The sequence below is a fragment of the Homo sapiens genome, chromosome 4 (genome assembly GCF_000001405.40).
Source record: "Homo sapiens chromosome 4, GRCh38.p14 Primary Assembly".
NCBI classification, from domain to species: Eukaryota; Metazoa; Chordata; class Mammalia; order Primates; family Hominidae; genus Homo; species Homo sapiens.
In genome coordinates, this window is record NC_000004.12 from 4639317 (window position 1) to 4655270 (window position 15954).

At 46.2% G+C, this 15954-nt stretch overlaps 1 protein-coding gene and 1 long non-coding RNA gene across 9 annotated transcripts in view, besides 3 other annotated features; both read left to right on the forward strand.

Annotated features, from left to right (window-relative positions):
• LOC124900165 (uncharacterized) overlaps positions 1–15954 on the forward strand; it is a 230445-nt gene that overhangs the window by 97186 nt on the left and 117305 nt on the right. For 4 of the 8 annotated variants that reach the window (XM_047416488.1, XM_047416487.1, XM_047416491.1 and 1 more), the window contains 2 exons: positions 9661–9793; positions 10054–10226. The exons of 1 other annotated variant lie outside the window; for it this stretch is intronic. The gene's annotated coding sequence lies outside the window, so the exon portion shown is untranslated. The remainder of the gene's footprint in view (positions 1–9660; positions 9794–10053; positions 10227–15954) is intronic. 3 more of the 8 variants (XM_047416490.1, XM_047416489.1, XM_047416486.1) reach the window with 1 other exon arrangement.
• STX18-AS1 (STX18 antisense RNA 1 (head to head)) overlaps positions 1–15954 on the forward strand; it is a 168808-nt gene that overhangs the window by 97186 nt on the left and 55668 nt on the right. Inside the window, exons 3-4 of the long non-coding RNA NR_037888.1 lie at positions 9661–9793; positions 10057–10226. This is a non-coding gene — a long non-coding RNA (STX18 antisense RNA 1 (head to head)). The remainder of the gene's footprint in view (positions 1–9660; positions 9794–10056; positions 10227–15954) is intronic.
• Positions 830–1749: an enhancer, noted in NCBI's record as "NANOG-H3K4me1 hESC enhancer chr4:4641873-4642792 (GRCh37/hg19 assembly coordinates)". NCBI's record gives its function as "activates a minimal SCP1, AML or CMV promoter by ChIP-STARR-seq in naive H9 embryonic stem cells {active_cell/tissue: H9 hESC(naive)}" and the evidence as "EXISTENCE:reporter gene assay evidence [ECO:0000049][PMID:30033119]".
• Positions 2668–3585: an enhancer, noted in NCBI's record as "NANOG-H3K27ac-H3K4me1 hESC enhancer chr4:4643711-4644628 (GRCh37/hg19 assembly coordinates)". NCBI's record gives its function as "activates a minimal SCP1, AML or CMV promoter by ChIP-STARR-seq in naive H9 embryonic stem cells {active_cell/tissue: H9 hESC(naive)}" and the evidence as "EXISTENCE:reporter gene assay evidence [ECO:0000049][PMID:30033119]".
• Positions 11757–12654: an enhancer, noted in NCBI's record as "H3K4me1 hESC enhancer chr4:4652800-4653697 (GRCh37/hg19 assembly coordinates)". NCBI's record gives its function as "activates a minimal SCP1, AML or CMV promoter by ChIP-STARR-seq in primed H9 embryonic stem cells {active_cell/tissue: H9 hESC(primed)}" and the evidence as "EXISTENCE:reporter gene assay evidence [ECO:0000049][PMID:30033119]".

Consider the following 15954-nt stretch of genomic DNA (forward strand, 5'->3'; position numbering starts at 1 on the left):
TTACCATATGTATTAGTTCATTTTCATGCTGCTCATAAAGACATACCCGAGACTGCACAATTTACAAAAGAAAGAGGTGTAATGGACTCACAGTTCCACATGGCTGGGGGTGCCTCACAATCATGGCAGAAGGCAAAAGGTATGTCTCACATGGCGGCAGACAAGAGAAGAGAATGACAGCCAAGTAAAAGGGGTTTCCCCTTATAAAACCATCAGATCTCAGGAGGCTTATTCACTACCACGAGAACAGTATGGGGGAAATCACTCCCATGATTCAATTCTCCCCCACTGGGTCCCTCCCACAAATGAGGGAATTATGGGAGGTACAATTCAAGATGAGATTTGGGTGGAGACACAGCAAAACCGTATCACCATAGGATCAGCAATTCCACTTCTGGGTGTATCCCCAAAAGAATTGAAAACAGGGACTCAAACAGATATTTGTACAACCCTGTTCATAGCAGCATTCTTCACACTAACATTAATTTCCACCAAAAGGTGGATGCAACCCAGTGTCCATGACAGCTGAGTGGATAAGCAAATGTGGTCTGTACCTACGATAGAAGAGTATTCAGCTTTGAAAAGGAATGAAATTCTAACACATCCTACAACCTGGTTAAACCTTGAGGACATTATGGTAAATAAAATAAGCCAGGACAAATACTGTATGAGGTAGTTAAAGTAGTCCATTCACAGCAACAGGAAGGAGAATGGTGGGTGCCAGGGGCTTGTGGGGTGAAGATGGGAATGTTAGTGTTTAATGGGAACAGAGTTTCAGTCTGGGAAGATGAAAAAGCCCTGGAGATGGATGGTGGTGACGGTTCCGAGACCATGTGAATGTGTTTAATGCCGCTGAGTGGCACATTTGAAAATGGGGAAAATCGGCCAAGCTTGTGGCTCATGCCTGTAATCTCAGCACTTTGGGAGGCTAAGCTGGGAGGATCATTTGAGCCTAGGAGTTTGAGACCAGCCTGGGCAAGATGGTACCCCATTTCTATAAATAAAAATAAAAATGGGCCGGGCGCAGTGGCTCACGCCTGTAATCCCAGCACTTTGGGAGGCCGAGGTGGGCGGATCACGAGGTCAGGAGATCGAGACCATCCTGGCTAACATGGTGAAACCCCGTCTCTACTAAAAATACACAAAATTAGCCGGGCGTGGTGGCGCGCACCTGTAATCCCAGCTACTCGGGAGGCTGAGGCAGGAGAATGGCGTGAACCCGGGAGGCGGAGCTTGCAGTGAGCCGAGATAGCGCCACTTCACTCCAGCCTGAGCGACAGAGCGAGACTCCGTCTCAAAAAAAAAAAAATAATAATAATAATAATAATAATAATAGGGTAAAATGGTAAGTTTTATGTTGTGTATATATTATAAAGTGTGGGGGAATAAGAATGATGAAGGGCTCCTGGGAAGGCCAAGTGCTTCCCTGTGAAGCAGGGAGCCTGTGGGGCTCGGAGGGTGGAGTCAGGCAAGCGGGGCACAGCAGCGGGGCCTCGGGGCTTTGAGGGCGCTGGGACTGACCTTTCTCCCATTTGCTCCTGCTGAGGGCCCCAGAGGCCAGCTCGGCCTGGCCTGAGGTCTCAAAGGCATTTCTGAAATGCCTCACTCCAGAGGGCACCGCTTCCTGCCACAGTGACATGGGGGATGGTCCGGGGAACTCATCCCAGCTAAGTGACCTCTCTGGCTGGCTGGCCTCTGTCCGATGCCAGGCATCATCTGGAACCTCTAAAAAGTTCATTTAGCACGAGGGCAGAGGCATGGCATTCAGGGTCTGCCCCTTAATGGGAAACCAACTGTCCTTTAGAAAAAGGAATTAATTCAAAATCAGTTCGTGGGATCATAAATCAACAGACACGTTCCAAAAATGTTCGAATCATTGCAACTTCAGGGGGATCTGAAAAGCTCTCCATTGTAAACAGACAAATTGTTTGGGATAAAAGGAGAGAAGAAACTCTGGTGATCCCAACTTCACAAGTGAACTGGCTCTTTTTTAAGCCAGAAGGGGTGTCTATTGTAGGAATTTTTGTTTCCTTTTCCCTTTTGTATCTTTGGGCTTCAAAGGGGATGGCGAGAGGTTAAAACACAGCGAGAGAGGCTGCCCTTGTGATTTTTCAGCCTGCTGGAAACAGAAAGATACCAGGAATCTACTGAGGTGATGCAGACATGGGGTGTTGGCTGGGATTCCTCGCGGAATCTGGGAATCATATCGGTGTGTGGGGCCATGGGGCCTGCGGCGCTTTACAGGTTTCCCGAGAGGAAAGCAAGGCCCAGGAAGCTTGAGCACCTTATCCAGTGCCACCTGGCTACTAAGGGCCAGTCCATAGTGGTGGCTGATTTGCCTCCAAATGAATTTTCTGATGTGCGCATTTTGCTGCAAGAAAGACACGAGTTAGAACGTGCTGAATTTCAATCCCGGAGCCTCCCAGGAGGAGGCGTTCATTTGCTCCCCAAACTTTCACTGTGGTGGCCAGAGTTCTCAGCCCAGGACACCTCCTGTTGAGGACCTGGGAGCTGTCTGGGATGTTTGCCTGTTTCTCACTCCTCCACCCCTTCCCTCCCCTCCAGAGTAGCCAGTTCACCTTTAACCAGTTTCTTTCAGGCGCGCAGATGGTATTTCAACTTCAGAGGGAGCGACAGAGTTGGGGGGCCTTTATGGATCTGTGACCCCCGGCTCTTTGAGTTGCACAAACTAGCTCTCCCCCACCCCGGTCCAGCGGCTGCCAGCCCCAGCCCCCTTCAAAGGCCGGCTGGGTGCCACGCAGCAATTTCCGCTGCCGAATCTGACAGTGACAGTTCACTGGGACCTTCTCTCGCTCTCTCTCTCTGTTCTCCGTGCTGGGGCCTTCTCAACTTTAAGTCTGATAGGGTCTTGTCACAAAGTCTGGCTGGAATGGGCTGAAGGGAGACAGAAACTGATAAATTTTCTTTTGATCTCAGATCTGCAAAGCCGCTCAGAAAAAATAAATCGCAACAGTGGGCCCACGGTGGTTGGTCAGAGCCAGAGAAGCCAGAAAAGGTTCCTTCTCCAGCTCAGGGTTCCCTGATTCCCCCTGGTACATTACATATCAAAAGGAGGCGGGTGCGCTGGGGAGGGATCCCTGGCTCAGAACAGGGCAAGGAACCTAATTAGGTGAAAATCATTTAAATGGTTTTCACAGCATCGTTTGATTTAAAGCATTTATCACCACCTAACGCATAATTAACAGCAGGACAAGCGATTGAACAAAGGCTCTCTTCTACTCAGAGGGATTATGTTAATTTTCATTAATCTTATATATTACCATCTCTTTCCAAATGAATGTTATCTTAAAGGCCCAAATGCCTTCTTTGATCTTGGGGAAAGGAAAAAAAGAGAGAGAGAGAAGAAAAGATTGTAACCTATGTTTGTTTGGAAATGACATTTTAACAACAGGCTCCAAGTACAGGATCAGAAGTTTTTGGTATTCAAGAGTTAATCCAGCCACAAAAAGAAGGAAATTCTGTGTGGAGGAATCAGGCGCTGCGCTTGCCTGGAAACACAGGATTGGGCCAGATGGGTTGTCTGAGGTCTCCTTTAGTTTGATTGTTTATTATGGTTCTAAGGGAATATACTCAGATTCTGCCATAACATTCTCACGTTGTTGGACGTGTCTGCCCCTTGCCATCCTAGCCCAGAGAGTCCCTTACAATAATTTTAATTTAAAAAAAAAATTAGTGAAGACAAGTAGTTATAGAAACTGGCTTAATATGAATAATAACCACACACTGTGCTCTTCATCTGATAATTAATTACTTGACCTGTATTATGTCATCAAATCCATACCACAGCTTGATTGTCATCCTCACATTGCAGATGAGGCAACTGAGCCATGGGGGAAACTGAGGTAGCTTGTCTCAGTTAATATTCGGGATACTCACCCAGGCAGGTGGCCTCTAGAGCCTGTTCTCTTGGCTGCTGGACTGCGCGGCCCGCCTGCGTGGTTGGTCAGGAATCTTGCTGTAACCCGTCTGTCTGGGCTCCCATCTCAGCTGTGTCCCCAGCTTCGTGTGCAAACTTGGGCCAGTGTCTGTGCCTCTGGGGCCTCAGTTTCTTCATTACCAACTTCCAGAATATCGGTCTCCACGCTGGGCTAACAGCTTGCATTTATGGAATGCTTTGTTGAATGCTGGTGCTGTTGTTTCCCCATTTCACAGATGAGGAAACTGAGATCTTAGAGGCCCTGCCAGGTTCGCACGCTGTGAGTTGTGTAGCTGGGATTTGAACCCAGATCAGCAGATGCTGAGCCTTTTCTTAATCTTTATGATCTGTTGACTCACAAAATCCAACTAGGGGCATTTCTAGCTTTAAATATTTTTTTTTTTTGTCTTTCTTTTTTTTTTTTGAGACAGAGTCTTACTGTTAGAAATGCTTGTTCCTAGGTGCCATAAAGAAATAGCACTTGAACATAAGTTTAATTTCCTCAGCAAGGCCTTTTTTTCCTTTTTTTACTTTCTGTAGAAAGGGTACACTCGTCAGCAGTTTTGCCACGAGAGTGCACCGAACAAAGGAGACAGGGTCATTTATAACCTGACGTGTCCACCTTACTGCTGTGTCCAGTTTCCATTGGCTGGAACCGGGCTTCACATTCTGTATTTGTCCTGATTGTTTTGTGCAATGTTGAGAAAGGTAAAAACCTTCAAATGAGGAAGAGGAACATGCTATGACCTAATGCTTGCTTGGACCAGTATAAGCATGCCAGGGCAAATATTTAGGCTAAATTGTGGGAGCCAAGAACATAAAGTACATTGATTTCTTTATTACGGCTAGCAGATATTTAAGAATGTTAGCACAGGTCTTTGAATAAATTTTGCTTCTGAGAGAAGTTACTATTTATTCTTAATTCGATGGGGAGGAAAGCCTTTGAAGAGGAAACTCTACTTTTTGCATTGCTCTATCACCCAGGCTTGAGTGCAGTGGCACAATCTCAGCCCACTGCAACCTCTGTCTCCCAGGTTCAAGCGATTCTCCTGCCCCAGCCTCCAGAGTTGCTGGGACTACAGGCGTGCACCACCACGCCTGGCTAATTTTTGTATTTTCAGTAGAGTTGGGGTTTCACCATGTTGGCCAGGCTGGTCTCGGACTCCTGACCTCAGGTGATCTGCCTGCCTCAGCCTCCCAAAGTGCTGGGATTACAGGCATGAGTCACCACGCCTGGTCTCTAGCTTTAAATAAATAGGATTTCTATGGGGTGGGGGATGGGGGGGATTGTGTTAGATCTATTCAGTATCTTGACTGTGGTGGTAAATACACAAATCTATCCTGATGAAATTGTGTAGAATTTAATACACAGACACTAATACAAGTAATATTGGGAAAGTATGAATAAGATTGGTAGATTAAATCAATGCCAATATCCTGATTGTGATATTATGCTATGGTTTTGAAAATGTTACATGGGTGAGCAAAGTGCATAAGGAGTCTTTCTGTATTATTTCTTACAACTTCACATGAATCCACAATAATCTCAATCAAAACATCAATTTAAAAAATAGAAATGGGTTGGGCATGGTGGCTCATGCCTATAATCCCAGTATTTTGGGAGGCCAAGGCAGGCAGATTGCTTGAGCCCAGGAGTTTGAGACCAGCCTGGGCAACATGGAAAAATGCTGCCTCTACAAAAAATACAAAAATATTAGCTAGGCATGGTGGTGTATGCCTGTGGTCCCAGCTACTTGGGAGGCTGAGGTAGGAGGATCACTTGAGCCCAGGAGGCAGAGGTTGCAGTGAGCTGAGATTATGCCACTTCACTCCAACCTGGGCGACAGAGCCAGACCCTGTCTCAAAAATAAATACATAAATAAATAAACTAAAAAATATAGAGGATTCTCTCTATAAACACACTGAGTAACTTTATTGTGTGTATGTGAAATGTTTGGAATAAACATAAGACCTGGTTCTTGCCCTAGAGGAATGTACTGAATTAATCATAATAGTAATAATTTTTAAATGACTACCATTTATTGAGTGACATGTGTCAGACACAGTCCTGAAGTGCTATATTAATTTCATCAGCAATCTTTTTTTTTTTTTTTTTGAGATGGGGTCTTGCTCTGTTGCCCACGCTGGAGTGCAATGCAACAATCAAGGCTCACTGCAGCCTCAACCTCCTGGGCTCAAGCGATCCTCCCACCTCAGCCTCTCAAATAGCTGGGACTACCGGCATGCACCACCATGTTCAGCTAATTTTTGTATTTTTTTTTTTTTTTTTTTTTTTGTAGAGACAGGGTCTCGCCATGTTGCTCAGGCTGGTCTTGAACTCTTGGGCTCAAGGAATCCGCCTCTTTCCACCTCCCCAAGTGCTGGGATTAAAGGTGTGAGCCACCACGCCCAGCCCATTATCACTTCTTTACAAGTGGAAGAAACTGAGCTTCAAAGAGGTTAAAACTTGCCCAAGATCACCCAGCACATAAGTAGTAATGTTGGTGGGCATGGGTCCAAGCCTCACTCTGGATCCCACTCCTCAGCTGAGCCAGAGTTCCCTGAGCACCTTCTATGCCAGCACATTCCAGTAAAATAGTATCATTCTGCCCTGGCACAGTTTGGCGAGGCAGGCAATATCATCCCCGTTTTGCAGAGGAGGAGACTGGGGCTCAGAGTTGGAGAAGACTTGAATCCAGCTGCCTCTTTTTCATCCTACAAGGAAGAGACAGAGCTGAACACAGGTCTCACAGCACTATGAGGTCATTCTGGGGTTCAGGGTACGCCTCAAAGAAGAAGGTGTCTGGGCAGGCCTGGGGTATGTGTAGGGGTGCTGGGGAGTAGGCAGGACCTAGATAAGTGAGTTTCAGGAGCTAAGAGCAGGGTGTGAGCTGAGCCTGGAGCTGTTTATTCAGCTTTAGGGGGAAAGATTTCATCCAGGGCCCTGGTTGGTGATAAAGCAGCTCTGTTTTCAAACCAAACATGGCCTTTCCTTCGAGGACTGGGAAATTTGGGAAGAAAGATATTGCATGGCTCTCCTGTGGATCTTTCCGGCCCTATCACCAACGAAATATCTCACTGGACTCTTAGGGGAAAGTTGAAATGCACTCCCAAAGAGATTCAGGCCACTGCGGGTAACTTCAAAGGACGGTCCTCCAGAAAGCTGAAATTTAAAAAGTCCACGACAGCCCTTTAAAGGTGGTCTGGACACACATTGTTGGTCTGGCGCCCATTGTCCCTGACCCTGACCAAAAGCCTCACAGAGCTGCAAAAATGTCCGTGGGCAGGACTGGCTCTAACTCGGGCCTGGGAGGCAGGACTGAGAAGAAAACCCACGTAGTGAGCCTGCACCAGGTCCTAGGAACTTTCTACACTTTCTTTCTCTTTAAGACTCATAATAGTTCTGGAAGAGAAGAAGTCTCACTCCCATGTTCTAAATTTACAGCCTAGGGGAAGAGACAAGAAGGGTCTCATTCACGACCACATGGCTGGGAAGTAAGAGATCTGAGATTTGTCTGACTCCAAAGAACTGAGTTGTAGTGGCCTGGGGGATCACAGATCATGACAGTGATGATGACAACTACTATCACTTATTATTATACAGATAATATTTTCTAAAGATGGCTGTGACAATATCTCCCATTCCACATGTTCTTCTTATAACGTGACTTTGACACTCCTCCCACTGAGTGGTGGGGGTGCCTGTATTCCCTCCCTTTGAACCTGGGCAGGCTTGCGACTATGGCAGAAGTGACACTATGGAACTTCCAAGAAAAGCTCATTAGATTATAAAATGCTATGCATATCTACCTTACTCTCTTGAGTCTCTCTTGGAACCCAGCTGCCATGCTGTCAGGAAGCCCAATCTAGCCCACATGGAGAGAGCTCGTGTTCTAACCAAGAGACCAGCTGAGGTCCCAGCTGAAAGGCAGCATCAATTGCCAGCATGGGAATGAAGACACCTCAGAATGGCTCCCACCCCTGAGTCATCCCCAACAAATTGAGTCTCCTGTGTGCCAGATGTTGGGGAACAAAGACAAACTGTCTCTGCCCAAATTCCTGACCCAGAGAATCATGAATGTTATAAAATGGCTGTGCAATGCCACTACATTTTAGGGTTCATTTGTTACTTAGCAACAGTATGTAGAGCAAATATAACAACCATTGAATAAGGGCTAACATTGACCAAGTACTTGTTGTGTGCTCAGCACTGTATTAAGAGCTTATACAGTCAGAGGAAGAAGGAGCTTTGAAACTCAGCTTCTTCCATTTGTAAAGAAGTGATAATGAGACTGGGCACAGTGGCTCAGGCCTGTAATCCTAACACTTTGGGAGGCTGTGTAATCCTAACACTTTGAGGCGGGTGGATCACTTGAGGTCAGGAATTCAAGATCAACCTGGCCAATGTAGTGAAACCTTATCTCTACGAAAAATACAAAAATTAGCCAGGTGTGGTGGTGTGTGCCTGTAATCCTAGCTACTCGGGAAGCTGAGGCAGGAGAATCTCTTGAACCCAAGAGGCAGAGATTGCAGTGAGCCGAGATCACGCCACTGCACTGGAGCCTGGGCAACACGGCGAGACTGTCTCAAAAAAAAAAAAAAAAAAAAAGTGATAATGGACTGGGCTTAGTGACTTATGCCTGTAATCCTAGCACCCAAAACAGGTGGATAACTTGAGCTCAAGTGTTCAAGACCAGCCTGAGCAATGTGGCAAGACCCTGTCTCTACAAAAAAAAAAAAAAAATTAGCTGGACATGGTGGTGCGTGCCTGTAGTTCCAGCTATTTGAGAGGCTGAAGTAGGAGGATTGCTTGAGCCCAGGAGGTTGAGGCTACAGTGATAGACAGAAGTTTTTTTGTTTGTTTGTTTGTTTGTTCTTGGTAGGCTGGAATGCAATGGCACGATCTCAGCTCACTGTAGCCTCCACCTCCCGGGTTCAAGCGATTCTCATGCCTCAGCCTCCCAAGTAGCTGGGACTACAGGCATGCCCCAACATGCCTGGCTAATTTTGTATTTTTAGTAAAGACAGGGTTTCACCATGTTGGCCAGGCTAGTCTCGAACTCCCGACCCCAAGTGATCCCCCTGCCTTGGCCTCCCAAAGTGCTGGGATTATAGGCATGAGCCACTGTGCCCGGCCTACACAGAAGTCTTGTGTAGTACTCCTGGGAAGCCTTCTGAAAGAGAGATTTACAATACTGGAGAGATGAAAAATGTAGGTTTCCAGGCCCCATCCCAAACCTGCTGAGACCACATTATGCACAGTATCCCAATGGCGAAGGCAGGGTAAGACCAAGCCCAGGAGAAGGGTCAGGACAATGTGATTCCATTTAATGCAGCAAATATTACTGACAGCCCTGACTACATGCCAGGTGCCTGGACTTCCCTCAGCTACTCAGGAGGCTAAGTCTTGAGGATCACTTGAGCCCAGAAGTTTGAGGCTGCACTGAACCATGATCACACCACTGCAATTCAGCCTGGGTGACAGAGCAAGATCTTGTCTTTAAAATAAAATAAAATAAAAATATTATTATAATGAAAGAATTTAAATAACACAGTGTTGTAGAATATAGAATACATGGATATAGATGACACAATGCTGATGGGGATGACAGTTCATGACCATCAGGCTTGTACTGGGCACCCTCCTGTGTTCTCTATACACAGATTCTAGTCGATTACCTTCTCACAACTGCTCCCCCCACCCCGCCTTTTCTATTTTTTAGATGCAGAGATTCAGAGAGTCTAAGCAACTTTTCTAAATCATCTAGCTGGAATTCAGTAACTGAGCCAGGATCTACCCCAGGTCTGTCTGACTCCAAAGCCTGTGTCTTCCAGCACACACTGCTGCTGCCTGGGGTAAGAGCTCAACATTATGCTTGGAAAAAGGAGCTTTTCTATCTCATTGTGGAGGGCTGGGATGTCTCCCGTGTCCACGCTCCCTTCTTTCTTAGTAATGGGCACGTTACTGCGTTCCCCAGCCTCTCTTGCAGCAAGGTGACCAAGTGAACACTTTCTGGCTAATGAGATGTACATAGAAGTCTTGTGTAATACTTCTGGGAAGCTTTCTGAAAGAGAGCGAATACACTCTTCTCCCATTTTCCTCAAAAACCTTCTAGCAGGAATGTGGATATGATGTCTGGAGCTCTAGCAACCATATCAGACCACAAGGATGAATGTACACCCCAGGAATGGAAGAGAGGAAAGCCAGAAAAAGACTCGGTCCCTGATGGCTGAAGAGCTACCATACCTGCCCCTAGATCTTCTATTTCTGATCATCTTCTATGCAAGGGTGAGTGAACTCGTATTGTGTTAACGTCACTGTGATACTGGGTCTTGTTTCTTGCCAGTTGAATGTGATCCTAAGTGGTACAATGGGTCAACTGAGAGGAAGAGAATGAACTTGGGTTGGGATTTGAAAGATGGGTAGGACTGAGACAGGAATGGGGGAAGAAGTTCCTTATAGGTGCTGGGAACAGCAAGAGTGAGAAGTGTCCTTGAGGTGGCATGTGGAGTATAACAAGGAAGATGTAGGAGCTAAGCAGGGTTAGAGCAGTGGTTTGTAAAGAGCTTTGGCTGCCAGGCAGTGAAGATACAATTTCAACTGTTAAGCACTGGGGAGCCATAGAAGGTGTTTGAGCGGATAAGTGATGTGTTTGGTACTGGATTTTGCCTTGATGGAGATCTGTAGGCGGAACTGAAGAGGAGGAAGCCTGGGCCAGAAATGGGGCCCTGGGGGGTGGGAATTGCTTGGAAAGGAGGTTTGGAGACCAGCTTTGGCAATGGTCCATGGAATCACTATTGCATTAAACAGTGGTGTGCTAATACTGTGGGTGATTTGGAAGCCACTGAAACGATGATGCACAAGATAGCATGATAACATGTCAAGTTGCTCACGGTATATTGTTATATGACAAAAATAGGTCTCCAAACAGTTTGCACAATATGATGAGTTCCTGAAAATTCACTTCATGCATTTTATTTAAAAGCCAAGAAGGTTATTCTCCAATTGTTAATAATAGTTACTGCTAGGGGGAAGTTTTCAGGGATGATTTTTCTTTCTTCTTTTGCTCACTATTTTCTAAGCTGTTAGTAGTAGTAGTAGTAATAATAATAATAATAATAATAATAATAATAGCTAAGCACTCCTGAGGGCCCACAAAGCTCGGTGCCAGCCTCATTCTCTGTGTTAATTCATGTATTTAAATCCTCATAGTCCTCCATGAGGGAGGGAGTTTAATTTTCTTCTTTTTATATTTGAGGAAACTGAGATTCAGAAAGCAGGAGCCTATGTCTAGGGGAGAGCACCAGTGGAAAGAGAGGTGACAATGAGGATCCGAGAGAGGGGACGTCCTAGCTGGATGGAGGAGTTAGGGAGTGAGGAGGGAAAGGCCTTCTCAGAAATCCCAGGGGATGCACGCATCGGCCTTTACAGTTTATAAAGTACACCCTGTACTTCCGCTCTTAAAATGCGCTTGTTAGGAATTATGATTGCTATTTTATGGGAAAGGAAACAGGCTCAGAGAAGTTAAGCAGCTTGCTCAAGATAACAAGGGGGAGAGTTGGGATTTGAACACAGCGCTCTGTGCCTGACTCAGGTTCTATCTCTGCCACACCCAGCCAAAAAAGGGGGCTAGTTTCAGTGTGTATTGGAAATCTGTCTGTTGGACCCCTTGGCTCCCTTAAGCCAACAGACTTTGTGTTAGCAGCTAAACCACTTAAAAAGAGCAACAAAGCAAGACCTGGAAATTTTTTAAAAAATTAGCCAGGTGTGGTGGCGCATGTCTGTAGTCCCAGCTACTCGGGAGGCTGAGGCGGGAGGATTGCTTGAGCCCAGGAGTCTGAGGCTGCAGTGAGCCATGATCACACCACTACACTCCAGCCTGTACCACAGAGTGAGACCCAGTCTCTAAAACAAAAAAAAATTTTAAATAAAGAAATAAAAAGAGGTTATTGACCCCTACCTTTTGGCCGAATCTTAGTCTTGAACGGCTTGCCTGAACTGTCCGGAATTTCGCAGCCCAACTTGACACTGATTTCAACCAATTCTGTTCATTCCTTGTGCCCCACCGTCCATCCTGCTTCCTTAGCTGCCTTTTTGACTGAGTCTGAGCTGCCTTTGACCTCCTGGGGTAGTGCTTCTGAGACAAGAGAATAGGGTCTGGAGGCAGGAAACCTAAGGTAATTTCAGGCCGACTTCCTAGAACTAAATTGAAAGAAAAACCCGGGCCAGGCGTGGTGGCTCACGCCTGTAATCCCAGCACTTTGGGAGGCCGAAGAGGGTGGGTCACCTGAGGTCAGGAGTTCCAGACTAGCCTGGCCAACATGGCGAAACCCCGTCTCTACTAAAAATACAAAAATTAGCTGGGCATGGTGGTGGGTGCCTGTAATCCCAGCTACTTGGGAGGCTGAGGCAGGAGAACAGCTTGAACCCAGGAGTCGGAGGTTTCTGTGAGCCGAGGTCCTGCCATTGCACTCCAGCCTGGGTGACAAGAGCAAAACTCCGTCTCAAAAGAAAACCCTAACTTTCCACGCCTAAGTAACAAAAGGACCAGAGGCTACTCCTTTTGCAAATCCCTTTTCCTCCAGGCAGATGGGAAATTGGCTGTCCGCAACCAATCAGACTGATTGAGAGCGGAGTCTTCCTTTGCATAGAAGTGGAACTTTGTAACTTCATCTTAACCTTTGATTGGTTGCTTTTTGCAGCCAATCAGGTGTTTGCAGAGGAGTGTGACTTTTGTAACTTCACTTCAGCCTCTGATTGGTTGTTTTCTGCAGTCAATCACACTGATTGCGGGCCACCACTTCATTTACATGAGGGGGCCAATAGGAAACCTGTAGGGGGTATTTGGATCTGAGAAGATTCTGTATCTGGGCTCTTGAGCCGCTGGTTGGGCCCCTCCCACACTGTGGAGGGTACTTTTGTTTTCAATAAATCCCTGCTTTGGTTCTTTCGTTGCTTCATTCTTTCTTTGCTTTGCTGGGCTTTTGTCCAATTCTTTGTTCAAAACGCCAAGAACCTGGGCAACTTACAGTCAAGACCCTCACCGGCAACACTTCTACCCCGCCTGGCCTGGGCCCTGAGCTCCATCCCACAGCCCAAGGCCTGGCAGGTGGCTTCCCACCGCCTCTTCCCTATCCAGTCCCAGCCAGCTGGGGATCTGGTTTTCCCATCCTCCACTCTCCCTGCCTTTCCCAGCCACATTCCACGCCCACCAAGGCCCCTCCAGGAAAAGGCCCCAGAGAGCTCTCTGTCCTCATGTCAGACGTTTCCCTAATTCCCAGTGGCTTGATCTTTTGCTGTTTCGGTTTATCACAAATGATTTTCCAAGCCAGTGGATTTAATTATATTATACACTTAGGGAAATTGGTGCCATTTTTTAATTACTTTTATAGTTGAAAAGCAATTACTTAGCAATCACATGAAGGGCTTCTCATGTTTCCTGGAGTTCTGTAGAGAACCAGACCTGGTTTGAAGAAGTTGGGTTTGCCCTGGAGGTAACCCAAGGAACTGGGGCAATTGGGTTTGGGGAGACAGGTAAGCTTTGTGGTATAGAATTGGATAAATAAAGATTTTTTAAAAAATCATGATCCACCCAGTTGCTTAAGCCAATGCCTGACAGACACCCTTAACATCTCCATCTTCCTCAATTCTGTGTATGTCAACACTGGTGAAGTGCTTGGATTCCACCTCCTGGTACCTCTCAAACCTGCCCATGACTCTGCTTCCTCCTGTCCAGTCCAGGCCACCACTGCCATGCATCTCTTAAGTGATCCTCCCCTGTCCACCCTGGCCCCCTGAGGGGGGTGGAATGGTGGTCTCCAAAAGATCCATTTACCCCCAACCTAGGAACGTAACCTTATGTGGAAAAAGGGCCTTTGCAGATGTAATTGAGTTAAGGATCTTGAGACAAGAACTTCCTGGATGACCTAGGTAGGCCCTCAATCCAATGAGAAGTGTCCTTCTCAGAGGACAAGAGGAGAAGACCCACAGAGGGGAAGCCATGAGAAGATGGATGCTGAGGTGAGTGATGTGCATACAGGCCAAGGAGCACCAGGAATGGCTGGGAACCACCAGAAGCCAGGAGAGAGGATGGGCAAATCCTCCCTCAGAGCCCCCTGGAGGAGTGAGCCTGCCCATCACTTTGATTTTATTTAATTTATTTAATTAATTAATTTATTTATTTTGAGATGGAGTCTCACTCTGTCGCCCAGGCTGGAGTGCAGGGGTGTGATCTCAGCTCAATGCAACCTCCGCCTTCCAGGTTCAAGTGATACTTGTGCCTCAGCCTCCTGAGTATTTGGAATTACAGGTGCTCGCCACCATGCCCAGCTAATTTTTGTATTTTTTGGTAGAGATGGGATTTCATCATGTTGGCAAGGCTGGTCTTGAACTCCTGACCTCAAGTGATCTGCCTGCCTCAGCCTCCCAAAGTGCTGGGATTACAGGCCTGAGCCACTGTGCCCAGCCAATCACCTTGATTTTAAACTGCTGGACTCTGGAACAGTGAGTAGTAAATTTCAGTTGTTTGAAGCCATGCAGATTGTGGTTATTTGTTATAGCAGCTCCGGGAAACTCACACAGCCCCATTTAGTCCATTTTTCAACACGTCTGTCCCGTGCTAAAGCCCAGTGGCTCTCACCTCCTTTAGAATAAAGAATTGCATTTTCCTGATGACTAATATAGAGTACCTTCATATGCCTATTGCTATTTGAATATTCTCTTTTTTTTTTGTATCTGCTCAAGTCTTTTGCCCATTTAAAAAATAGGATAGTTTCTTTTTCTTATTGGTTTATAGGCATTCTTTATATATTCTGGATACTACTCTTTTGTCAGGTGTATATATTGTGAATATATTCTCCTGTTCTGTGGGCTGCTGCTACACTCTTTTAATGGTGTTTTTGGATATAGTACTTAATTTTAATATATCCCACTTTATTAGTTTTTAATCTTGTAGTTAGCACCCTTTTTGTCCTATTTAAGAAATCTAAGGCCAGGCGCAGTGGCTCGCGCCTGTAATCCCAGCACTTTGGGAGGTCGAGGTGGGTGGATCACGAGGTCAGGAGATGGAGACCATTCTGGCTAACACGGTGAAACCACCGTCTCTATTAAAAATACAAAAAAATTAGCTGGGCCTGATGGCACATGCCTGTAGTCCCAGCTACTCAGGAGACTGAGGCAGGAGAATCGCTTGAGCCCGGAACGCGGAGGTTGCAGTGAGCCGAGATCGTGCCACCACACTCCAGCCTGGGCGACAGAGTGAGACTCCATCTCAAAAAAAAAAAAAAAAAAAAAAAAGAAATCTCAGTTTACTCTGAGATCATGAAGATGTTATTCTATGTTTCTTCTAAAACATTATTGTTTACCTTTCATTTTATTTAATTAATTAATTAATTTTTGAGACAGTTTTCCTCTTGTTGCCCAGGCTGCAGTGCAATGGCGCTCGGCTCACCGCAACCTCCACCTCCCAGGTTCAAGAGATTCTCCTGCCTCAGCCTACCGAGTAGCTGAGATTACAGGCATGCACCATCATGCCTGGCTAATTTTGTATTTTTAGTAGAGACAGGGTTTCTCCATATTGTTCAGGCTGGTCTCGAACTCCTGACCTCAGGTGATCTGCCCGCCTCGGCCTCCCGAAGTGCTGGGATTATAGGCGTGAGCCACCACGCCCAGCCTACCTTTCATTTCATATTTGGATCTATAAGCTATCTGGAATTGATTTTTGTGAATGGTGTGAGATGGAATTCAGCTTTGTTTTTTCCCCACATAGACATTCAATTGACTGATCACTGCAATGCTATCTTTGACATAAGCAGATGACCGTGTATGTTTGGGTATGGTAACTGGTTTTTAAGTTTATCCTGCCCCTGGAATCTCAGCTCCAAGGCAACAGTAAGCTTTTATTGACAGGAGGAGGCCAATCCATAGCCTTGGGCTGCAGGACTGATGAGGAGGAGGCAAGAAGGGTGGGGCTCTGGGTCCCTGGTTCTTGTCAAGCAGATCAACTCACAAGGTGTCT